Source organism: Homo sapiens, chromosome 14, assembly GCF_000001405.40.
Source record: "Homo sapiens chromosome 14, GRCh38.p14 Primary Assembly".
NCBI lineage: Eukaryota > Metazoa > Chordata > Mammalia > Primates > Hominidae > Homo > Homo sapiens.
This window is the reverse complement of record NC_000014.9, coordinates 68,224,238-68,249,913: the sequence shown is the minus strand read 5'-3', so window position 1 is coordinate 68,249,913 and position 25,676 is coordinate 68,224,238. Positions and strand designations below refer to the sequence as shown.

The 25,676-nt window shown below is 39.7% G+C and overlaps 1 protein-coding gene and 1 pseudogene across 12 annotated transcripts in view, besides 2 other annotated features; one reads left to right on the top strand and one right to left on the bottom strand.

Annotated features, from left to right (window-relative positions):
- The window catches only part of RAD51B (RAD51 paralog B), an 863,318-nt gene that overhangs the window by 433,183 nt on the left and 404,459 nt on the right, over nt 1-25,676 (bottom strand). The window lies entirely within an intron of this gene.
- Nucleotides 13,375-13,671, top strand: RN7SL108P (RNA, 7SL, cytoplasmic 108, pseudogene; annotated as a pseudogene).
- Nucleotides 16,568-17,767: an enhancer, noted in NCBI's record as "CDK7 strongly-dependent group 2 enhancer chr14:68698864-68700063 (GRCh37/hg19 assembly coordinates)". NCBI's record gives its function as "activates an origin of replication core promoter dependent on BRD2, BRD4, P300/CBP, MED14 and CDK7 cofactors, with strong dependence on CDK7, by STARR-seq in HCT116 cells {active_cell/tissue: HCT116}" and the evidence as "EXISTENCE:reporter gene assay evidence [ECO:0000049][PMID:35650434]".
- Nucleotides 16,932-17,301: an enhancer, noted in NCBI's record as "active region_8591". NCBI's record gives its function as "activates an Ori minimal core promoter by ATAC-STARR-seq in GM12878 lymphoblastoid cells {active_cell/tissue: GM12878}" and the evidence as "EXISTENCE:reporter gene assay evidence [ECO:0000049][PMID:35858748]".

Below are 25,676 nucleotides of genomic sequence, written 5' to 3'. Positions count from 1 at the left end.
GAGATTAATATCCTTGGTCTGATTTATATATGTTGTTTGAGGTATTTTCAAAAGTCATGTAGTTTATGAAAGAATTGCAGCTCTAGCAGGCAAACAAATAAACAAGACCCCCATATCTCTAACCTACAGGATTGCCCTGATTACCATGACTCACTTGGTCATTTCAACAATGCCCTTTCATGTCACCAGGGCTGTGTGTGCAAAATTAGGACACTACCTGGACCTCCAGCTAAACACTAAAAAATACTCTAGGATTCCCAGTCGGAAAGTGGTGAGGGTGTGATGTAAGTATGTGTGTAAAACTATAGTCCAGTTGGTTTTTGTTTTATATAACAAGTGGGTTCCTGAAAAGTCAAGATTTAAGTACTTTTTTTTGTAGATTAAAACATTTACAATTCACATCAGAAGCTCACTATTTAATGAAATCCGATTGTGGTTCCAGTTACAAAGAACGCTTTTGTAATTAAAATACAACCTTTTTGTTTGATCGATTTTATACATTCAGACTTGGTTTTACAGGAGTTTCTTAATGTAGGGTATACTTAGAGTATTATTACTAGTTGGTAAGTATTGTTTTGTTTTAATGCTATTCTTTTCTTTTTCAGCAAAAATCCAAAGAAGTATTTCCGCAGCCCAAGTTCATACTCTTCACAACATGAAAGACAGAACTTGCTCTGCTTTATTTAGCTTAGTGTGTCCTGTGGCATGTGAGGCATCCAGGGTAGCAGACACCAGCAAATTGCTAGGAAGAAACTGAGAGGCAATGACCCACCGACTGCACGGCAGTATTTCCAAACCGGTGACAGAGCTGAACCAGGATCAGACTGCTCTTTAAAAACACCTGTTCTGTAAACCTGAGTTAGTGAGGGCAGCATCTTCCAACTGACTCAGCCCAGCCACTGCTGCCCCTCTGCCAGAGGGCCTGGTGCCATTCGGGCAAGGACTCAGGTGCCTTACCCCCAGACCCTTCATGACCCACTGCCACACAAAGGCGAGGGTGCCAGCACCAATGGGCACATCCATCCCAATCTGCCATTTCAAAGCAGCTGCCTGCAGGCTGTGTCCGCCCTCTGCTAGCAGAGTGCAATGGGGCAGAGAAATTAAAATCCAGGGGAGCTGGGGAAAAAAGAAAGATGGAAATCTTAAAGACAGTATCTTGGAAGCATACGTTTTAGAATCACTGCAGCCAGTTCCCTGTCAAGAAAATATTGGCCTTGTTGGTTGGTCCAATCTCATGTAGCCACAGATGGTTTTATGCCTCACTATTCAGATACCCACTCCCCAGAGTAGTGAGAAACAAAGGATGTGGTGCTTTGTGGTGTAGTTATTCTGCCACCTAGTGTTACATGTAAAAACAAACAAATAAATTAAAAAAAAAAGGCTATGTTAGAAGAGTAAAAGTAGAATCATGAACTTCACTAAACTGCATTTTTTTTTTCTTTCCAAACATGAAGATCCTTCACATACAGTGGCAGCCTGGGGAGGCATTGCCAACAATTACAACAGCCCTTCTCATTTGAATTGAATGGAAGGCCAAAGAGCATGAGGTCTGAAGTTTAGGATGTGAAGGAGAAAAGAACATAACCTCAAAAACCCAATTTTAATGATATTTAAAAGGCCTATTCCCTCCAGGTAAGGTAAATACCATGAATACAATAATACAAACTGGAACTGGACAAGGAAAGTACAGTTTCTGTCCTGAAGAAGAGAGGAAAGAGTAAACAGAAAAAATGTGGATTGCTTTTTAAAGTATTATTACTTCTGCAACTAACGCATTATGAAGTAATAAAATGAGCTATGGGCTTGGGGTGAAGGTCTGAGTGTGAGTCCCAATTCAGTAGCTTCCTCGCTGTGCTGGTGAGTTGTGCAATATCTCTGAGCTTCGATTTGGTGTTCTGGAAAACAGCTGTACACTTACACACACATTCTTCCTCCTTTTACAACACTGTCCTGAGGATCAATTAGAAATGTACATGAAGGCATTTTGTAACTATAAAGCGCTTTGCAGCACCCTGAAGACCATTTCCCTCACTATATTGTTCTCTTTTTGCAGTTATGTCTGCCATTTATATGTATATGGCTTTCTGTATTTAACTTGTCCTGGAGTGCTAGTGATCATTCTTAAATAAGTGCTTTCAGGATTAAAAGAAGTATTAAATAGGAAAATGTGCAAGTATGTCATGCAACATATAAAAAATCCCCCAAATAGACTAATAAAGAATTAGCATTACAGTTTAAAATTAGATTATTCCAAGTGTTTCTCCTTAAAATTATGTTCCGTTGAGAATGATAAGCCATCTTGGTTAGTTGTTTCTACTAAAATTAGTATATTCATGAAAGTTCTTAAAATTACAGGGAATCTGAACTGAACTTTCCTTCTTGTGGGCAGAGCCTTCCATTGTGATAAACCAGGCATCAGGAAATAGTTTTTCATTTCCGTTCCTGCACTAACTAGCTATGTAACTTTAAGCAATTTCAGTTTCCAAATGGGCAAAAAGTAAGAGGTAAACAAAATAACCATGCCTTCCAGTTCTATGATGACAAGTTGTTGTTCTGCTTTTGATAGCAAAATTTAAAGACAATTCAAAATCCGTGATAGACTAGCTATAATGTAATTTTCAGAAATGTCCTACAAGTTACATACATTTTTTTTTTCAAGCTGAAGTTTTATTTAAAATGTAAAAGAAATGTTCCCCCAAAATGCTGGTGAATAAAGCAAAAGGATACCATACAGTGCTCTCTTCCTACGAGTTAGCCAGCCTATCCAAGCACAGGGCAATATACAGTACTTAATGCTGGTAGAATTTCACAGTAGTTTAGTGTTAAAGATTATCTGTGCCTAGATTATGAAGAGATTCTCAGTGTGTGATGTTTAGTTCAGGGTTTACTTCTTACTGGGCATGAACAAGAGCCCCTGCTCTTCAGTCACAGGATAGAAAAGACAGCATTAAGTGAGATGGCCACTGTAGCATGGGTGTGTTTGTGTCCTTTATCAGAACTTAGAGCTGCTCAGAAACCACTGCGGGCTAAAACAAACAGGCTACAAGAAAGTGCGTACCCAGCCACCTACCTGGCCTTTCAAAATTGCAAAGAAAGACTTTACTTCCACTTAGCTCTGAAAACACCCTTTGCTCTTTTTAGTAATATTTTTAACAATGCCAAGAAAAGAACTCTATTTATCCAGATTTCCTCTCTCCTTAGAAATGTCAACATTACTCAGGAGTATAGCAAAAAACAGCCTGGAGTTTTCATGATGTGAACGTGAGACCAAAGTCACACTGAGGAGAGATTAAACTTGGAACATGATTGCCAGTAAAGAAGATAACTCCTGCCTAGAAAAAGCCCAGCTGGTGACTTCCGTTACAGAATTCACAACCACACTGGGTTCACAAGCCCTTCTTCCCACATGGAAGCCCCCTTTTCTTAAATGTCCCAGATTCTCTCTCCTTTAGATTGATGCCAGTGCCTCTTCTCATAAAAGTGCTCAGCTTTGCTCCATCTCCCTGGTTTGTACAAACCCTGGCATATTTTGGCCTGGAAGATTTAGCCCTTTTCTTTCCCCTGTCTACTGGAACTTCTATCCTTTTTTGTCAAAAAGATTTTTTTTTTTCAAGGCTTTCCAATAATCTGCTGGAGGCCACAGAGACAGATCTAATCATGGTTCTCATCAATCTTTCTCCCATGGCCAAACAGAGCCAGGAGGCTTCATGGAATGGTGCTGAATTCTTTTTTCTCCCTCAAGACGTACTTCTGTCCAGGGAGTTAGGGCCCACTGTGTGTTCCTGGGAGCTAACATTTCCTGGGGAGTGTTTAGGGATTTCACATTTACCCTAAACAAAATAACATATAAAACTTTAAGTCTAAATTCCACAGAGCTTTTTAAAAGGAGGGGCCTTGTCTCTCCTTGGCTTACAGCAGCCCTGAAGGCTTGTTGTATCTCATTCATTTTGGCCATTTTCCAGAGCAGCTGACAAACTGAAAATAAGCACACTGCTGTCTCCCCTCCTTCACTCCCCGCACTACCTTCCCCGGCTCCTGACAACCACCACTCCTCACACCCACAGATCCATGAGGGTCAGGCCCATTCTCAGAATAATGTGGAGGTGAACCCTACCTCCACCTCATTGCTCCGACTTTAATACCAATCTTGAACAGTCTTGGTTTGGGATTTCAAATGTAAGTCATTCTTGGCCTAAATCAGATTGTGGGATTAGAGCCCTATTCAACTTGTGAGAGCAGGAATTCGCCTTTTAGGGATATGCGTCTAAAGTCATAAATCGCCTTGGAGATATGCCCACCTCCACTTTTAAACTGCCTCTGAGTCTCTGTCCTTTTAGATAAGCAACAGGAAAAGAGATATAAGGTAACTTATGTTGCATAATTTGAACCAAATATTTGAGGCAGGCCTCTCTGTTCTTGGGAAGCTCTGGTGGAAAGCTGACTTGAAAAGAGGATGTAACAAAGCATCACACACTAGCAGATCATACCAATATCATACAAATCTAAGTGATGGGTTTCCAGTAGGAACCCAGGGCCCCGACATAAGGCACCACTTCCATGTGTTACTAATACATCACAAATCTGATCAACCATAGTTGCAAGTCTATTTGACTCAGAATTTAGCAGCAGCTGCAGTTCCCCAAATTAGTGAGGGGGAAATAGGCATTCAGCTTATAAAGTTTTCCAATAAGAGCCACTATCTTTGAAGTACTAAATTTATACCCACCCCAATTTGTTAGACCCCACCCTGGCTGGGCCTCCTCTAGATCACAATATAAACTCCTAGGACGAGGACAGGGTAGGTCTGGAGGAGATGGAGGAGACAATGAGGACATAGATTATGGTTTTGCCTAGATGTTTTCACCTTGGTATCAATAGACACATCTGAGCTAGTTAGTGTTACGGCATTCTTTAACCCTCCTTCCAAAAGAAACATCATGGGGCTTTTCTACCATGCCATTCATCTACCCAAATGTTAGGACATTGTTTTCTTTATAAAGTGTATGATTAATTGCCAAGACAACACCTGTGCCTTGCCATTTTTGTTATGGGAAAGTCTAGGAAATCCATGTACAAGACTACCCAGAGATTACCCACCCCGTGGCTTGGAATGCAGTGTGACCAAAGGCATTTCCAGAGAGCTCACAGGACACAATGGCCATGCATGGGTGGATTTGCTGGATGGATCAGACAAACCAACCACAACTTTTCCATCTTTTGTTTCGATTCCTTCCAGTAGATTGGCCTTGTTACCAATACTGATGCCAAGACTACCAATTGCTTGCAACAAAGAATTGTTGTTAACCCCTACCCACTGTTTCATTCACTCTAATTATTCTCTAACAATACAATGGCTTCAAAAAGCCTCCAACTGTCCAGCAGACACTATGGGCCAGAGGAATCACTGAACACAAGCAGCCTATCAATAGAAGACAATACTGAAGCAGCTTCTGTCTGGGTGTTTGCTCCATCTTCTCTGAAACAATGGGAAAGAGAGCTCAGGAGAATAAAAAGGAAGTCCTGCCCTACAGATCTTTTGTTTGTCTGCCAATGCTTTATCTGTTCCAAGTTCTTGGGCGTATTCTTTACCACTCCCAAATACAGGAAAAAGCCTCGATTTCCTAGGAAATGCAGCTTCTATGTTTTTGATGAATTCTTATTGTACCCAAATCAGACTTCAGTGAGGATTCCCGTTAAGATTTTTTTTTTCACTCCTAAGGTCAAATATATCTTATATAGTAGGTAGGCCATTGGACTAATTCACAGCAACAATAACAATACAAACAGATCTTTCTATAACATTTTAGATGACAGCATAGAGCCCACCAGCATATCAGTGGTTGTTTTTGTTTGTTTTTTTAACAGATAACACTGGTTGATAGAATCACTGAATAAAAAAGTAATACACTGGAAGCAGGTCATCACGAAAAGACATCAGTTTAACAAAATTGAAACTGATACCATAATCTTGGAGGTTTCCAAACAGAGGGAATATAAAGTCAACAGAAAATTAAATGAGAGGAAGCCTCTGTTCATTACAAATCAACATATAATTAGATTGGGATGCACCCATAATGATGAAATACCAGCAGAAATGAAAGGTCAGTTGTTTCCAGTAGGGCAACACTGCCAGAACCATGTTTAAAGGAAACAGATCAACACGGTAACCCAGAATCTCAAAGATATCCCAGGATAAAGGGGATTCATTATAGCCTATTTGAGTCATCAAGTAGTGTGAATTCATATGTAAAGGGAACATGGGGCCTGGAATGTGTACAGTGTGTCAATTACTACCAAGCAATTAAAGCAATAAAAACCAAGGCTCCAAACCATACCCACAGCAGAGCTATAAATAAGTGAACAAAGGGAAACTAAATTCCCTAAGGAAGGAAAAGCCTGGATCAAAAAAATCAGCAAGGTCTAGGTCTCGGAAAATATAAAATAACATCAACCATGACAATTTAATAGCGATGTTACTCAATAATTCTTAGAAGCTGGATGACTTAACCAAAAAGATAAACTATTAGAAATATTAACATGCAGAAAGTTGTTTCTGCCTAAAAGTGTGCATAATATAAAAAAGTTTACAATAGGGAAAAATATGAATAATGCTTTATTTTTTAACCTTCGCAAGTTTAAAAAATTTAATAATCTTGAAAATATTTCCCTAGCTAGAAAAAAAGAGAAATATCATTAATTATCATATGTGAATCAAAGCAATGAGCAATCTGAAGGCAACGGGTATCGATTTCCTTTAAAATTTCTGTTTTAAATAGTCCCAGGTTTTAGATGTAAATTAATTCCGGAGAGCACATCTTAATAACAGTAATAAATAATATATGATGCACACACTACTTATGGTATTATTAGTAGTATAGTATACATTAAAATGTGGTGCCAAGAGCCTCCTTCAAGGAAGCACTTGCTGTCCTCCTATGGGGAGTATGATCAGCAGACAGCCTCTAGCATCAGCTCCTTTAGGGTGAGCTTAAGCTTTCTAGGGCCTCCATGCCCAAGATCATGTCCAGGAGTAGATCATATCCCATAATTAAGAGGCTCTACCACTAACTAGGTGGGTGATCTTGAGTAAGCTACTAACTTCTCTGACCTAGAGCTTACATAATAATATACTGATAATAATAATATCTTCCTCATGTGGTTGTCACAAATATTAAAAGAGATAATGTGTGAAAAGTACTTATTTAGCATGGCGTTTAGCACCTAGGAAGGGCTCAGTAAATTGTGGCTATAATATTATTCTTAACCCCAGCAATTAGCACAGTTTTAAACACTTAGCAGGTACTTGAAAAGTATATGATGATGAAGTAAGGCAAAGTCCTGATTGCTATGTACCCTACCTTCCTCTGTTTGAACGTTAGAGGAAACTACTGAATTCAAAATGAGGAGATGAAAAGGTGAAAAAAGGAGCTTTATTTTTTCAACAAATTTTTATTATGCACTGATATGTAAGAAAAACTAGACTTTCTACCTTCAGGGGGTCTACAACCTGCACAGGGAAACAAGATGTGTTAGTAGCTTCTATTTCCAGGCAATCTGTGATAAGTGCGGTCCACGTATAGACTATCTAGGGGTTCAGAGGTTGGCAGTCACCTCCAACCACTCCCTGGGTAGGACAGCTACGGAGCGTACCTTGAAGTGTGATGAGAAAAGAATTCATTCTGGGCAAACAGGATGGACTGAGCCAAGTCTAAAGTGAAGAAAACAAATGCATCTTTACAGAAATCCTACTAGTCCAGGCTGGCTGGAGGACAAGGGTTTATGCCGAAGATTAGTGAGAGACAGATCTGGAAAGGGTAGTGTGGAGTAGCCTGGAAGGGGCTCAGATAGCAAGGCACAGGTGGCAGAAACCAGAGAAGCTTCAGAGCTGAGGTATAGCCAGGCTGAGACAAACTGATCTGGCAGCTGTATACAGGGTCAACATAAGCAGGGGAAGTCTGGAGACCCGGCAGACACTGCCAGAATCATTTAATCCTCATAACAACCCAATAAGTATCCTCAGATGGGGAAACTGAGTGTAGGCCCAAGGTTGCACAGCTCAAAAGAGATAGGAGTAGGACAGAAACTCAGTGTGGCACCAGAATTCATGAAGGGAGACATGACTGGGCAGGGGAATCATTTGATGGTCTTGGGAATGGTAGACAAAACATACATGAGCTGGACTGCTTGCAGGGAGAGGGCAGGGAGATGGGCAGAAACTACTTTTTAACTATTTAAAAAAAAAATAAAACCTGAGAACTAAAAAATTTTAAATTTAAATGGAACCTATGTTAATTAGACTTAGCCAAAATGATGAAGCGAAATATTTTATCATGACACCATGATTGACAATTTTTTTTTATTTTTTTATATTTTGAGACGGAGTCTCACTCTGTCGCCCAGCTGGAGTGCAGTGGCGCGATCTCAGCTCACTGCAAGCTCGGCCTCCTGGGTTCATGCCACTCTCCTGCCTCAGCCTCCCGAGTAGCTGGGACCACAGGCGCCCGCCACCATACCCAGCTAATTTTTTGTATTTTTAGTAGAGATGGTGTTCCACCATGTTAGCCAGGATGGTCTCAATCTCCTGACCTCGTGATCCACCTGCTTAGGCCTCCCGAAGTGCTGGGATTACAGGCGTGAGCCACCACGCCCGCCTGATTGACAATTTAAAAAGAGAACAGGTTTTTCTCATAACAAAGGAAGAAAGAAGAGAAAAAAGGAAAGAGAAGAAGTTTTTAGATTCTAGGTTCCAACCACGTATAGCAGCTTCCAATAGGAAAGAATACACACGTTGGGTTTCTCCGCCTCCCAGAGCCACATTTTAAAGGGAAAGACAAGAAAAAGTCATAGACTAGGCCCAGGTAGATATCTGGGGTGAAAGCTATGATAACATCCAAACAGCTACTGGCTAACAAACGATAAACAAGCACAGATGGTAAGCTCACTAGAATTGCTTTGCTTTGCAGACTTGTCACATGAATTTGGTTTTATTTTAGCTTAATAAGATAATGTAGGTAAAGTGCCTAGCCTAGTACATGAGGCAAAGCATATGCTAGTTCCTTTCCTTTTCCTTCTCAGCTTCTTCCCTACTTACCCAACAAAAGCGTAAGATAATTTTTCTTTCTTTGATAGCATAACTTGAAGAAATAGAAAACAGTCCAATATTTCTTCAGGAAGAAAAACATCAAGGCAAATTTCCTTGGGCTAATGTCCTTGAGTCTGGCATTACCTATGAGTGAGTTGGGACGACTACGGGAATAGAACCTGTTTCTTTGAGAAGTAAACAAGGGCAGGGATATGAACAAATGTCAGGCCACATGAAAACAAGAGGCATTTTGTACTCTGGACGCTTTATCTTACTCTACTAGCAATTCACCATGAAAAGCAAGTTCCTGAGCCAGCTGAAACTTCAGTTGGCTTTTCTTTCGTTAGATAAAGAATCATCCTTTATCACTTTTAACTGCCTGGCAATTGATTAGTAAGGCACCTCTAATGAAATCTTAGGTAAGTAAAAAATATGTCTTCTTTTTCTCTCCGCTTTTCCTGAACAGACAATCCCCAGAAGTTCCTGTTTATTGTCTGTCCTTCCCTAAGTGGCTGTATAAGGAAGTGGAGTTGAGGTTGTTAAAGGTTTCCAGCTCCTGGAGTGAAAGGCGCTGTTCTAAGTCATCGCACTTATTACACACACAACAGGCATGGGCTGGGGCTCCAAATAGACACAATGAGGTCTGTTCTGAGATGAAAAAAAACTAGAGATCCAAGGCAGTCTTTATAATGGTAGATACAACACCCAGGGTAATAGGGGCACCCTATAAAAACCTCAGCTGCTGATAGAGTGAGGCTGCGGCTCCTGGACAGTGTCAGTGTCACATTTAGTGAGAAGGTCTCTCAGCTCTGATGCCTTCGTGGATGTTCTCATGGACAGACAGTGGCCTTCTGGATGGACAGACTGTGTAAAAATAAGGAACAGTTGTGGCCCAAAACAATGTGACTAATGTAGCTTTTTCACATCCAACCTAAGACCTTTCACTTTTTAATTTAGATATTAAATTACAGTTATACTGGCCTGATTTTCTCAACTAAAAACCAGGGCTCTTGTCAGCAATGTATACTTAAAGGGACAATGGAAAGTATCTGAAATGAGATTGTTGGAATATCTGATAGTTATATCAAGAGTCTGCTAGGTAAAGAGGCCTCATATGGTTCTTTTGGCTGGTGGAGATTATAAAGGGAACTCCAGGGTCTCAGAACTGGGGCAGTACCACAGGGCTGGGCTGATGAGATAGGTGAGTGGAAGAAGACAGAGAACAGTGAACAAAAGAAGAGAGCAGTGAGTTGAAGAAAACATATCAAAGTCAGGCACTAGAATGGAGTCCTGGTGCCCAGTTTAAAAAAGAAAAAAAAAAAAGACTGTGGAGAAGGACAGCTTTTTGGGAAGTAGAGGCTGAGGCTGGAGCAGGATGACTGCTTCCGTCTCTGGAGGATCAGCGTGTGATGAGAAAGCAGTTGTGACCTCCATGTCAGGCAGAAAGCAGGGTTGTAAGTGTTCTTGGGCTGACTTGACACACTTAGGATTTCTCAGTGTTTGGTAAACTCAATACCATCAAGAGTGGCTGTGCTGGTATTGGTGACACCTTGAGAAAGGGAGTCAGAGAAGGGGCGAATAAGCAGGAGAAATGCCATAGGAAGGACAGGTGTCTAACCACATCCCCCCAGGTGCCCAGGAGGGAAGTGAGGAGGGAGTGGAGGCGTTTTCCTCAGATAACAGTTGTCTTATCTGGGCCCCAGGAGGCTGTATTTCTACAAGGACAAGGGCCACAGCTTAGTTATCTATGTGAACTTGGTAACCAGTATAGCGCATTATATGCTGTGACTATTTGATAAATATTTGTCATTTTGTTGTTGTTGTTAAGGTCCCAAGATTTCTGTAGAACTAGTGTCTCCTGATAGTGGTTCACAGAATGCTACAGAACATCACAGCTGAAAAGGACAGAGATATCATCATGACCAGTTCTCTGATATAGATCCAGAAACAGGCTAAGAAGAGCAACACATCTTGCCCAAGGTCACACTCCAACCTCAGATATTCTGATCCCTGGTGGAATGCAGGAATCTGAATTGTTAACCAGTATCACATCAACCCCAAACTGATAGAATTAATTGCAGGTGTTCCACAGACCACAACGCAGGGATACATTGTATTACATTATATGGTCTGGTTTTAAGAGTTGAGACCAAGCTGAGTGTTACAGTGATGAGTAAGGGTTAGCATAACCTATCAATAACTTTTTCTTGTAAAAAGCAATAAATATGGTTGGGCACAGTGGCTCATGCCTGTAATCCTAGCATTTTGGGAGGCCAAGGAAGGGGGATTGCTTGAGGGCAGGAATTTGAGATCAGCCTGGGCAACACAGTGAGATCTTTGTCTCTACAAAAAATTTTTTAAAATTTAGCTGGGCACAGTGGTACATACCTGTAGTACTAGCTACTTGGGAGGCTGAGGTGAGAGAACTGCTTGAGCCCAGAAGTTCAAGGCTGCAGTGAGCTATGATTGTGCCACTGTACTCCAGCTGGGGCGACAGAGCAAGACCTCATCTTAAAAAACAAAAAAACAACAAAACAAAACTAAACTAAACTAAGGAATTCTATTTTGTGAAAAATGTTTCTGATCAAAATCACCATGAAATACCACTTCACAACTACTAGGATGGCTATAAGACTGACAATAAAAAGTGTTGGCAAGGATGTGGAGAAACTAGAACCCTCAATATATTGATGGTGGGAATGTAAAATGGTGTGGTCACTTTGGAAAATGATTTGGCAGCTCCTCAAAATGTTAAAAGAAAACAGAGTTAACATATAACCCAGCAATTCTACTCGGAGATATATTCATATGATAAATGCTTCGGAGGCTGAGGCACTTTGGGAGGCCGAGGTGGGTGGCTCACAAAGTCAGGAGATCGAGACCATCTTGGCCAACACGGTGAAACACCATCTCTACTAAAATACAAAAGATCAGCTGGGCGTGGTGGTGCATGCCTGTAATCCCAGCTACTTGGGAGGCTGAGGCAGGGGAATCACTTGAACCGGGAGGCAGAGGTTGCAGTGAGCTGAGATTGCACCACTGCACTCCAGCCTGGTGACAGAGCAAGACTCCGTCTCAAAAAAAAAAAAAAAAAAAAAAGAGAAATGAAAACACATGTCCATGTAAAACACTGCATGTAAATGTTCACAGCAGCATTATTTATAATAGCTAAAAAGCAGAAAAAAATCTCAAATCCATAGAGACAGAAAGCAGTGTTTGCCTAGGGCTGGGATGGGGAGTAAGGAGAAGAAATGCAGAGTGACTGCTAATGGGTACAAGATTTCTTTTGGGAGTAAAAATGTTCTCAAACTTGATAATGACAATAGTTACACAACTCAGGGAATACACAAAAATTACTCAATTGGACATTTTAAATAGGTAAATTTGATGGTATGTGAACTATGTTTCAATAAAGTTTTTAAAAATATTTTGAAACTAAGGCTCCTAAGTTCTAGTACATTGCTAGGCCCCATCTTGTGATACTTAAAACTGGCTCTGGGCTATCTAGATTTGTTTATTTTTCATTGCTTCAGTTAACAGCAGGAAGAAATAAACTCATAGTTTCTCAATGTGCTTATGATCCTCAATTCAAGATGTAACTCATTCTTCCAGAGTCAGGAGGGAATAGACACTTGAATCCAGGTGCTCTGTAGGCTGGAAAAGATTTAAAGCCCTGAGTTGGCTCCACAGCAAAAAAATTTTTTTCCAATAATTCTCTTCTGAAGAAATTTCCCAGGACAGAGATTTTTGAGACAGATACATCACTGCTCACATAATTGAAATAGCAGGTGAATAAAGGCAGGCAGAATGTGTCAGCTGGTTTGATGAAGGGTCATACAGGTGTCCTCAAAAATAGGCAAGTGCTGGGGAATCAATTTGTGTGCTTTCTCAGAGACTTAAGGAACAGACTGTTACAATTAGTTAAGGGGCTGCATACAAATGACACTCCTTTGTGTGGATGTCTGCAAATCTATATAGAGGAGCCAACAGTCATTTGGAATCCAGGTCAGCCAGGGAAAGCTGAGCAGGAGTACATGTTTGCGTTTCAGAGAACAACTCCCCAACTCCTCCCCAAATAGACACAAAGATAATGGCCTAGAAGGGGTCAGTGTTTTACTAGCCTTTGATTGAGGCATCAGACCTCATTAAAAAGTCTGTTAGTCATATGTAGAAGAAGAACAGAATCCAAAGTGTGTTCTGCCATAAAAACAACAAACATGGTTGTAAAACCCTGTTGGTGAACTCCTAAAACTCTCTATATAGCATGAATAAATTCCTTGATACACAATCTCACCAGGCATGGTGGTGGCACCTATAGTCCCAGCTCCCAGAGAGGCTGAGGCAGGAGGATTGCTTGAGCCCAGGAGTTCTGGGCTATAGGACACAATGCTGATCAGGTATCCTCACTAAATTTGACATCAATATGGTGACGTTACAGTAGCAGGGGACAACCAGGTTGCCTAAGGAGGGTTGAACTTGCCCAGTTTGGAAACAGAGCACATCAAACTCCTATGCTGATCAGTAGCGGAAATGCACCTGCAAATGGCCACTACACTCCAGCCTGGGCAACATGGCAAGACCTCTTCTCTTATTTGTTTAATTAATTAATTTTTAAACTTTTATTTTAGGTTCAGGGGCACATATACCAGTTTGTTATATAGGTAAATGGCCTGTCATGGGAGTTTAGTGCACAGATTATTTTGCCACCCAGGTAATAAGCATAGTATCTGATAGGAAGTTTTTCTATCATCACCCTCCTGCCTCCCTCCACCCTCAAGTAGGCCCTGGTGTCTGTTATTCCCTTCTTTGTGTCTATATGTTTAGCTCAATGTTTAGCTCTCACTTATAAGTAAGAACACATGGCTTGGTTTTCTGTTCATGTGTTAGTTCACTTAGGATAATGGCTTCCAGCTCCATCCATGTTGCTGCAAAGGACATGATCTCATTCTTTTTTTATGGTTGTGTAGTATTCTACAGTGTATATATACCACATTTTCTTTACCCAGTCTACCACTGATGAGCATTTAGGTTGATTCCTTATCTTTGCTATTGTGAATAGTGCTACAATGAACACATGCACGCAGGTAAGATCTCAGCTCTTTTTTTTTTTTTTTTTTTTTTTTTTTTTGAGACGGAGTCTCGCTCTGTCGCCCAGGCTGGAGTGCAGTGGCGGGATCTCGGCTCACTGCAAGCTCCGCCTCCCGGGTTCACGCCATTCTCCTGCCTCAGCCTCCCAAGTAGCTGGGACTACAGGCGCCCGCCACTACGCCCGGCTAATTTTTTGTATTTTTAGTAGAGACGGGGTTTCACCGTTTTAGCCGGGATGGTCTCGATCTCCTGACCTCGTGATCCGCCCGCCTCGGCCTCCCAAAGTGCTGGGATTACAGGCGTGAGCCACCGCGCCCGGCCGAAGATCTCAGCTCTTAAGAGGAAAAAAAGCAAAACAGAATACACTACTGTCCTTGGCCCCCTCCTCTTCTGCTTGATCTAATTGGCTGTCTTGGCTTCAAGTACAGTTATGTGCTACGTGGTCAACAATATAATGGAGCTGAAAAATTCCTATCATGTAGTGACACTGTAGCTGTCCTAATGATATAGTGCAAGATATTACTCACGTGGTTGTGGTGATGCTGGTGTAAACAAACCTACTGTATTGTTAGTCATATAAAAGCACAGCACATACAATAATGTACGGCACATAATACTTGATAATGATAATAAATGACTATGTTAGTGGTTTGTTTTTACTCTGCTATACTTTTATCATTATTTTACAGTGTACTCTTTCTACATATTAAAAATATTTTACTGTAAAACAATATTATATGTAACAGCAGCAGCAGCCTCATATATCTCCTGTTTACCTCTTGATTGTATATCATTTTCTCTTGTGCTTGATTTAAGTTTTACTACAAAAGAGTCAAAAAGTTAAAAATAATTAAAAGTTTATAAAGTCAAACAGTTACAGTAATTACACTTAATTTATTGTTGAAAATTTGTAAAATAAATTTAGTGTAGCCTAAGTGTAGTGTTTATAAAATCTACAGTAGTGTACAGTAATATCCTAAGCCTTTACATTTACTTACCGTGCACTCACTGACTCACCCAGAACAGCTTTCAGTCCTGCAAGCTCCATTCATGGTAAGTACCCTCATAGATATACCATTTTTGATCTCTTATACCATATATTTACTGTTTAATTTCTATGTTTAGATACACAAACACTTGCCATTGTGTTCCAATTGCCTATAGTATTCAGTACAATAACATGCTCTACAGGTTTGCTGCCCAGGAATAACAGGCTGTACCATCCAGCCAAGGTGTATAGCAGGCTATACCATCTAGGTTTTTGTAAGTGCACTCGATGATGTTTGCATAATGTTGAAATCACCTAATAACTCATTTCTCAGAACACATTCCTATCATTAAGTGATGCATAATTGTAATTCAGATACTTCTCAGCTTTCTTTCTTGACCCATACTATTGTCGTCCATTGGACTTCTCCACCTGAATGTCTCTTCTCATTAGTGCCTTAATTTAAACTCAACATGTTACAAAATGACCTCATCATTCCCCAAGGCTGCTTTTCCTCTGAATTTCTTGTTGAAGGCAGCATGACCCATCCAGACATCTGAGTTCCTAACTGGAGGTCCCACTCAAACACCCACCCCTGTATCCAACCAGTCACAGTAGTCTGCTCATTTGACTTCTGATATGCATCTCAAATCTGTCCCTTCACCTCTCCTCTTACTGCTACCACTTCCAGACTATACAGCAGCTTTCCCACTGGTTCCTTTGTTACCCCTTTTTTCCACCCTACACTATCATCAGAATTCTCTTCCTGAAAAAAGAAATCAAATGAAGTTACTCTCTTTCTTTAAAACCTCCATAAGCCCTTCTATTACTTACAGGATAATGCCTTAGTATGCTGTAAGACCCATCACAATCTTACCTCAACTTAACCTATTTCGGCTCATTTTCTACTACAATTCATAAAAAATGTATTTTTTCACCCTGAATATACTATGCTCTTTCACACCTCTTTGCATTTCCACATGCTGTTCCCTGTATTGATGGGGCTCCTCCCACCCTTGTCAAACTGGAAAATGTTGATATATTCTTGAAGCTTCAACTCAAATATTTTCTCTTCTCCTTTGCAGAAATATTTGCTGCTGCTTCTGTGTTTCCTCAAGTATTTTACTTATGCCAATCACTAAGCACAAAACACAACATAAAACTTCAGGTCTGGGGTGATGCCTTAGTTACAACTGCATCTCCAATGACTAGCATACTCAGGTACTTAATGAATGTTCATGAATTGAATGAATAAAGCAGAAGACTAAATTATTATAAAAGCAAGAGAATGGACCTTATAGTATGACCTAAATATACAAACAGAAATCTAAAAATGAACATTTCTTCTAAAATAAGCTTCATGATAAAGTGTATTAGCCAGACAAAATAATGTAATCAGCATATATGCCCTTGGCTCAGACAACCAGAACTGACATTTCAGTCCTGTGAATGTGGCCTCTTAGGGAAAATATTAGTACCATGCTTAACTAATAATAAGCACTATCTGTGTGTTTACTGTTGCTGTTCTTGTTAGGGGGTTATAATCTGGCCTGTACTCCATCTAAATAGATATAAAAATAAGTGGTCACAATGAAATTCTACTGTCTAAACAACCAGCTTACAATATCTAACATTACATTAAGAAATGAACATACCCAAGTCTCCTAATGCACACAAAAATATTCTGCTTCAAACACATGAATGAGCCAATGGCCTGTGGATATAGCCCACATCCCAGCATCTGAAGACGGTATGCTTAAAAGCTTTTGGCAATATCTTCTAGATTTTTCTATAGACCAACATCAAGCCAATTTATCTGACCTCCTTGATCTACATAGCCCTTCCAGTACCTACAGCTATTTTTCTAGAGGCCTGAATGAGTCAGAACAAGAAAATGATTAATCAACTTGGAGAGATTTGAAAGCTGGAAGGGAGCCATCCTGTGAGTAAAAGCTCAGAGCTGTGGGACTGCAGCAGTTGGAAAGTTAGGGGATTTCCATGGTTGAAAACATTTGGCTGGCTTGCTATGGTCCTCTGACCTTGCAATAAGACAGACCAGACCAAGCTGGTGATTTACCTCTGACAATATCCTATGTCTGCTGACTCTGGCTGTTCACTCTGACTTGACAAAGTCAAAGTTATTCCCCCTGAGCCTTATGACTTTGGAACTGGCTCAGAAAATTTTCCTGTTTTTTCCTCCCAATGGATATCATTCTCAGACCTTGGCTTCACTTTTATGTACAGCGAGGCTTAAATTAAAAGTGTATGCAATGCACCTAGCACAGTGCTTGGCAAAAAGTTAGGTGGGTCTGCTCCTTTTTTAGGCCAGGTTGGTTTCCCAGCACCTGGGGGATATAGCACCATCTTGCTTTTCTTTTCTTTTTTTTTCTTTTTGCCAGTTGTTAACCTGCCAGTACCATTTAAAATCACTTTTCCTGCTTAAGGTTTGTATCACTTGCCACTGCTCCTTATTTCATCTATTCAAATTCTTCCAATTCCCTTTACTGGGGACTTGATTTCTGAAGTTGCTTATTTTGAAGATACTACTCTAGTATTATCTAACTTTTATATTCCAAAAGTACTACAGACACTGTTGTTGTCTTTTGTTTGCTGTTTAACATGTAATATTTTACTGATGTCAGGAAGGCTTCTCATATTTCCCAACTATTTATCTCTACGAGTGATGACTCTACTTCCATTTTCTTGCCCTTTTACTTTGTGTACACTGCCCTCTTTCTTCTTTCTTTCACTTGAGCATATGAATCACTTGGATTTTATTACTATTTATTATCATCTCTTTCTTTCCTGAGTCTGCTTTCTGTTCCATCACTGCATTTATATTACATTCCTGTGTCTACTATCAATAATAAGTTCAGCAAGATATTCTCATGCCTGATGATTGTTTATTGGTCTCCTGTCCCTGTTTCTCTCATTAACATCATTTATTTTCCCTGTATAATTTTTTCATTACCTTAGTAAAGAAATAGGGTTAGGCAAAGCTTTCTGCTTCTCTTCTCTACTAGAAAAGATCCAAGTCCTTCTCCATTCATTAAACATGGTCACATGTCTCATATATACATACAAATATATACATGTAAACCTTCACTGTGAGAATTCTTATCCATTGATTTGTAGATCACAAGGAACTTGTTGAGCAATGACAGCTGCTGCTTTTCAATGCACTGGCATGGTTGGGAGGGGGCTGGGGATTTTGCCTTTTGGCACACAAGTCAATAAACACATTGGAGATTAACAGCAAAGAGATAAGAAGCTTGGGTGTGGGGAGGACTAGAATGATGGTTTAGGGGAAAAGGAAAAAGGAGGGAATTTCAGGAAAAGGAATCGAAATTATAGATCAAATGACCAGATAACAAAAAGAAGGGGAGAGATTCAATAAGGTTGGAGGAAAGATTTAGAGAGAAAACAAGATTGGAGGAAGGAAAGTGGAGTGGTTAAGGATAAGAAAGAAATTAGGAACAGAGGCAAAGAGAGAAGAAAAAGGTGGCAACCAGCTGGTCATCCACTTGAGAAAGAAAGCATGAAGGAAAATATTTAAGAATAAGTAAATACAGTTGAGAAAACATTCCAAATCAATGTGTCATCCTCCTTTTAAAATCCCCTTTGTTATTAAAATATACCATCCACAATATGGCTTCTTGCTACAAATCCCTCAGCGGATAGAAGTAGAAATATCCCTCTAGCTATTTGTTTTGAGGTCAGTTACCCTAGTCAAAGCCCTCAAAGACTCAAATCCTGTCAGTCTACACAACTCAAAAGTGAGAAAGTAACTGGGATGTTCTTCTGACAGTTTAACTCCAATGACTGGCCCTAATGTTGACCTTCCATGTGTGATAATGATGATAGTAATTTTTCTCACATCAAAGAATTTTTTAAATTTATTCTACTCCAAGCAACTACAATGACCAAAGATGCCTCTTGCTAGTTACTGATTTACATTTTAAAAATACTTGGGAAACAAAAGAACACTAAAATCACAGCCAAGAACTCCTAAGCCGGATAAGGGTCTTTTTGGCAACTCCTAAGAAGCAGAAATCTCTGCATAGCAATCCGTTTCTTTAGCTGTAAGGCTGAATCTATTCCCTCACTGTAGATCCCATAGAACAGATTTTGTAGTAGACATCTGTTGCCTTTGAATGTCCTTTTTTTGGTAGGAACACCAAAAGTGCTTGGCTTTGGGTAACCACCCCTGACCTTTATTATGGGCAGTGCTGGTAGGACTGTCATCTAAGGTACAGGGCCTTCCCTGGCTAAGAGGTAGGCTTATAATCAAAGCCAGTCAGATTCTCTGCTGGGAATCTGAATGACTAGTCAAACAATAAAGATGTTTAACAGAAAATGTCTGGAGTGAACTCATTCCAGTGGTGGTGCCTTGACGTGACCATTAGTTTCTGTTTCCTCTACTCCCACAGATGTCCTACTCTGAAAATCTGTTCTACTTTTCCTTCAATTCTATGACACACTCTCTATACCTTCAAAAATTACTCTTTTTTCCTTTCAGTTAGCCAAAGTAATTTATATTGCTTGCAATCAAAAAGCCTCAACTTATATAATCCACATTACACTGAATGAGAAAGTCACCTGTATAAGACTGTCCTACAATTTGATGCTTTTTGTAACCTCTCAACTGGCTACAGGCCTGGTCTCCTCTGTGCCTTCTCAGTGCTGGATACCTAGTTGAAAAAGTGTAACTGATTCTGAAGAGCAGGGATAGAATTCAGTGACATGCTAGAAATGATATGAGTTGCTTCAACCTAGTTAAAGTGAAAATTTTAGTAGGAAATGAGGAAGGTGGCCTAGCCCATGACAGCATCAGGAACTAATCAAAGAGATGAGGCAGTCTTGAGGGCAAGATAGGGCACAAAGATATAAGAGATCTATGACACAGCTCTGATCCTGTCCCCTAAATTGAAGGCTTGCCTAACTAAAAAGACATGACGAATCCCAAACTAGAGCCAGGATCTTGCCCTGTTGTGTATAGTTTTCAGGGCCATGTCCTTTGTTTGGAAACAGGGTGACTGACCAACTGAACAGGTACACGCCAAAGGCCTTGTAGGGAATGTAGCTGAACCTAGGCCTGGAGACCAGAGTCTAGTTACTCCCAGTGCCCTGGAGACTGCCTACTCTGAAACTGACTGTAAGTAGATCAATCCAGATTTTATTGCAGATATCTACTCCAAAGAGTCATTTCTTTCTCATTCTACAACATATAAGACATTGACAATGGCAAATTCCTGTCATAATGAAGATGAGTAAGCCAGAGGCATCTTCTATAATGTCACACTTTTACTTGCACTGCTTCTTAGCACGTACTATTCTAAAATGCAATGTGAGGCTCATCTTATCCACAAAGGGCCCTCTAGGAAAGAGTTTTATAAGAAAATCTAATTGCCAAGAGTTCCATGGGTGGTCCAAGAGTACAATTAGGCCAATAGTGACCAGGTTTTCCAACTCTTGGCTATCAAAAACATGTTAGCTTGACCAGTGAGATGACTACAGGTCAATACAAAAGATTAAAATATATACAATGCAAGATAGAACAATCACTTCTCAGCTGTCTAGAGAAGCTTGTTTACAAATGAACTTTCAACTTAATGAATTTTCATAGATATGAAGCTAGGTCTCAAAGGTGCCTGTTAATTTTGCCCATCAGCAAAAGATAATATCAGCTGTTCCACGAATACTGAATTTTTAGACATGGTAAAAAGTAGAGTTTTATAATCTGTAAGTTAAGAAATTCAGTTTTAGAGAATATTAGTTTTCTTTCCCAATCTGCCAGTTTCTAGGGTCCCAGATGAGTCACTGAGAAAATCAGACTGTATTCCCATGTTCACAGTCTATAGGAAGCTGCAAAAGCTGAGACCTGGAAGGAACCTTAGCAATCATTTAGATTAAATCCCATCATTTTGCAAAGGATAAATTGCATGTGAGGGCCAGTCAAGAAATAGTGGCTTGACGTAAGTCACACAGCGGGTCAATGCCAGGCTAAATCTAGAGAATAGATTATTTGACGTGTGTCCACAGCTCATTTCACTGTATCAAGTGCTTTAAAATAAAGCTGTTTTTAACCAGACTGAATTCTCATTCATTCATGTCATTCAACACAAATTTATAAAGCATGTCTTACACATCAAGAGCTGTTTTAGGTATGGACCCAAAATGATGAATAGAACTAAGTTCTTTTAAAAAAAAATCAAAGATGTTGGTTTCTAAAAATGACATCTCTCAGTTTTTCAGCAAATTTTCACACTGTGTTAAAGGCGAGACAATGAAATAGGTTGTATAAATCTAGTAAGAATAATGATTCAACATTGATTAAGCAGTACATGAATTATTTTGCCAGCAAGAGAAAATCTTTTCATTAAGCTAATGAAAGTTTCATTAAGCTAATAAAATTTCATTAAGCTGATAAATATTTTCACTAAGTGAATCATATTTTCACTAAGCTAATCATACTAGTAAGGCCGAAACCATTATGATCTTTAGCTCCCAACCTAGAGGTAAGATGCCTTGTCCTTACCATCTCAGATGGTAAGGAAGGAGTTATAGTGATCATGGGCTTTGGGCTTTGGAGCTACAGAAACCTGATTTTCAGACTAAATTCTGGCTCTGTCTCTTACTAGCTTGTAATCTTGGACAATTTATTTACCTTCCTTAGTCTCAATTTTTTCAGGTATAAAAGGGGGATGAAACAACTTACTTTAGAGGGTTATTGTAAAAGTTAGATATAATGTATGCAAAACATTTAGCACAGTGCTAACACAGAGTAGGCCCTTAATACATAATGACTATCATTATTATTACTACTAATAATAATTAATGGCATAATAATATGCTCTGTTAAATGGTTCTAAAGGAACAAAATTAAATTCATGAATGGCCAGCACATGTATTTCAAAGCCGTTATGTAGGCATGCCCATCATACTTACAGGAAGGTTTCCTCCAATTATACATTAGAGCAGGGATTTGAACTTAGGATGGTCAGACTATAGAATCTGAATATGTAAGTGTCTGTACACTGTCTCCAAACAGAAATATACCCCAGTTGACGGACCCTGAAGAAAAAAGCACAATTTAAAAAGACCTGGGAGGGGTTTGGTCTCAAAACTGGGCTGAAGGGACCATTGCTGAGGAGGACAGTATTATCGCTACATTGGAAATATTAATATAAATTGCTAAAACTTATTGAGTGCTAACACTTATTACTTTTTTAGTAAGAATCACAGCTCTACTGGAATTGTTTTATTTAATTCTTATAACAACCCTCTGAGGTGGATATCAGTATTACTGCCATTTCACAGAATGCATTAAGTAACTAATCTAAGGTCAACAGTTGGTATGTGGGAAAGTAGGATTTAAACCCAGGCAGTCTTCAAACTGAATAACTGGCCTTGGACCCCAAGGAGAGAACAGGGGTGCAGTTGTGGGAGTTGGAAAAGTTTCGCCTAAGTCATGCTAAGCATCCATATCTGGGGCCTGGAGGGAGAGAAAGGGAAGAGACTATTTGAAGAAAGGCAAGAGTGCCCTACTGCCTTCTTAGGCAAAGCCAGAAGTGACTCCAAACCTTGGAGGATACTTATGTCAATCTTTTGTTTCTCCATCTCTGGCCACACACTTGTGACGAGGAGGCCTGATTGCATCTTTAAAGACATCTACATGCCTGGAAAGATCCAGAAGCCTCCTTCACTAACTGAAACACTTGAGTTTTGAATTTAAAATCCTGGAAGAGTCCATCAGAGTTCCATTCTGTACCTAACATAGTGCCTATCATTTAGTAGGGCATAATAAACATTTCTGGAAGAAAAAAAGAAACGAAGTAAAGAAAAACTAGAATGGATTCTCAAAGACTGTATCAAAGCATGATTATCAAAGACCTAGCTCAGTAAAATAAATGAGTCCTGGCCTAGGAGTCAGGAGATTTGGGTTCTACCCAGAACTGAAACTAGCTATGTAAAACTGGCAAGTCACTTAGTCTCTCTGGCCCTCAGTTTGCTCACCTGTAAAATGGGTTGGAGGATGTATTAGTATGTTCTCATGCGCTAATAAAGACATACCCGAGGGTTTAATGGACCTGCAGTTCCACATGGCTGGGGAAGCTGCACAATCATGGCAGAAGGCAAGGAGGAGCAAAGTTACGTCTTACACGGCACCAGGCAAGAGAGCTTATGTAGGGGAACTCCCCTTTATAAAACCATCAGATCTTGTGAGACTTATTTACTATCATGAAAACAGCACAGGAAAGACCCACCACCATGATTCAATTACCTCCCACCGGGTCCCTCTCACAACACGTGGGAATTATGGGAGCTACAATTCAAGGTGAGATTTGGGTGGGGACACAATCAAACTATATCAGATGAGATGCTCTAGAAGATAATACGTGAAGAAGTCTTGCTCCGTGGCTGGCCCGGGAGAGGGTTTTAGCTTATGTTTACTGAATATTATGCTTTCTTACTTTTAAACTCCTTTTTGAGCCATTTAGGTTGGCTCCCTCATTTTATAGATTAGAAAACCGAAGCACAGAGGAGTTAAGTGACAAGTATAAGAACACTCAACTAATTGCAGTACATCAGAGACAGCAATCAAGTTCCCTTGCCTCTCAGCCTGGAGCCCTTTTCTCCATATCACACTGCCCGTGACTTGATTGGTGTACTTGCTCCTCCCTGCCATCTATGAAGAAGCTTCTAAAAACAGTAATGTCACACAATGAATGGATTTCCAGGAAGCCATCAAGTTCAGGTCAACATCTTTGAGCAAGATTTACCTTAAAACACTCGAAAGGAATAGAATATATACATTTTCAGTCCTCAGAGATGGAAATTCTACCATATTTCTCAGTAGTCTACTCCAATTTTGCTTGTTAGTAGATACTTCCTTATGCCTATCCCAAATCCCTCATATTGCAGTTTAAGCCTCTTGTGTTGTCCTCAGGTGAGGCAGAAAACACTGGTCACTGTGTTCCGCTAAGCTTCTCTATGTACATAAAGATTGCGATTAAATTGCTCTTTATCTTCCTCTCTTTCCAAGCTAATCCCAGTTTCTTTAAATTCCTTCATAGTTCTTTCCCAATCCTTTTATCACCTTTGTGGCTGAACTCTCAGCCACCTCTAGATTCAACCCCTACCCATGAATTACAAATTGCAGACCTGAGCACAATTTCCAAGTATGGTTCTAAATACGGACCAGCAAGCTGATTGTGTCATGGTTTCTGCAGAATAGTTCCCTAAATTAGCATCCCACAATCATGCTTTGGGTTGTAAAACTACAGGCCACCTTAATTTAGACTGAAAGAAGGTTATTGGTAGCTTCTTCATAGCAAATTTAAACTTGAAGTGGCCATCTCCCAGTTCTCAGCATGTTTCTAATGATTTCTCCTCCAAGCAAGTAAGGGAGAACTAACGTTAATAAGAATCCAGATAAGACATAAGTAAGAAAGTAAATAAGCTGAACAGGAATCTTAAAATGTGGATCAAATATAAATAGGTTGGTATAACAATGTTCCTCCATTAGTGCAAATAATTCAGTGGTATCTAAAAAGCAATGAGTTGCTGAAGTACAATTTACTTATCATATATTGTCCCTACAGTGTTTTCTGTTTGCAAAATTTTTCTAAATTTATAATATTTTAGAAAAAAAGTTTCTCTAAATTGCACACTTGTATGTCTAAATTTTTTTCTTAACAAACATTCTTTCTCTTGTATTTTTTAATATGTATTGTTGAGGCTTAAAAAGAAAATAGCTTTTTGGGCCGGGCGCAGTGGCTCACATCTGTAATCCCAGCACTTTGGGAGGCCGAGGTGGGTGGATCACGAGATCAGGAGTTCAAGACCAGCCTGGTCAAGATGGTGAAACCCCGTCTCTACTAAAAATATGAAATTAGCTGGGCGTGGCAGCGGACACCTGTAATCCCAGCTACTCGGGAGGCTGAGGCAGAGAATTGCTTGAGCCTGGGAGGTAGAGGTTGCAGTGAGCCAAGACTGCGCCACTGTACTCCAGCCTGGGCAACACAGTGAGACTCTCCTTCTCAAAAAAAAAAGAATAGCTTTTTAAGATGTCTTTTGTTGTTTGCATAAAAAATAAAACTACTGTATTATAAAATTAGCAATTTCTTAAGCCATATGTTAATATCAACTTAATAAATATTTATCAGATGCCTACTTATGCATACAGTACTTACTAGAGAACTGAATAAATATGAATAGATCATAATAATATGAACCCGAAAGGCTTTTCACAAAGGTGATATTTAAGTTGAATATTAAGAAATAAGTAAAATTTTGACTGCTGCTCAAGGTGAAAGAAGATATGCCAAGCAGAAGTAATCCATGAGTGAAAAAAGGAAGAGCTACATCACTTACACAGCTAATGGGCCATTGGCAAAGTAAGTGACTGGGAGAGAATAAAACTGGATTCCAGAGAGATACTATTGTACAATAATTTTTCCAAAGTGGTTCTTGAAAAGTTATCCAAGAATTGTAACAGAGTCATGCAATTTTAGC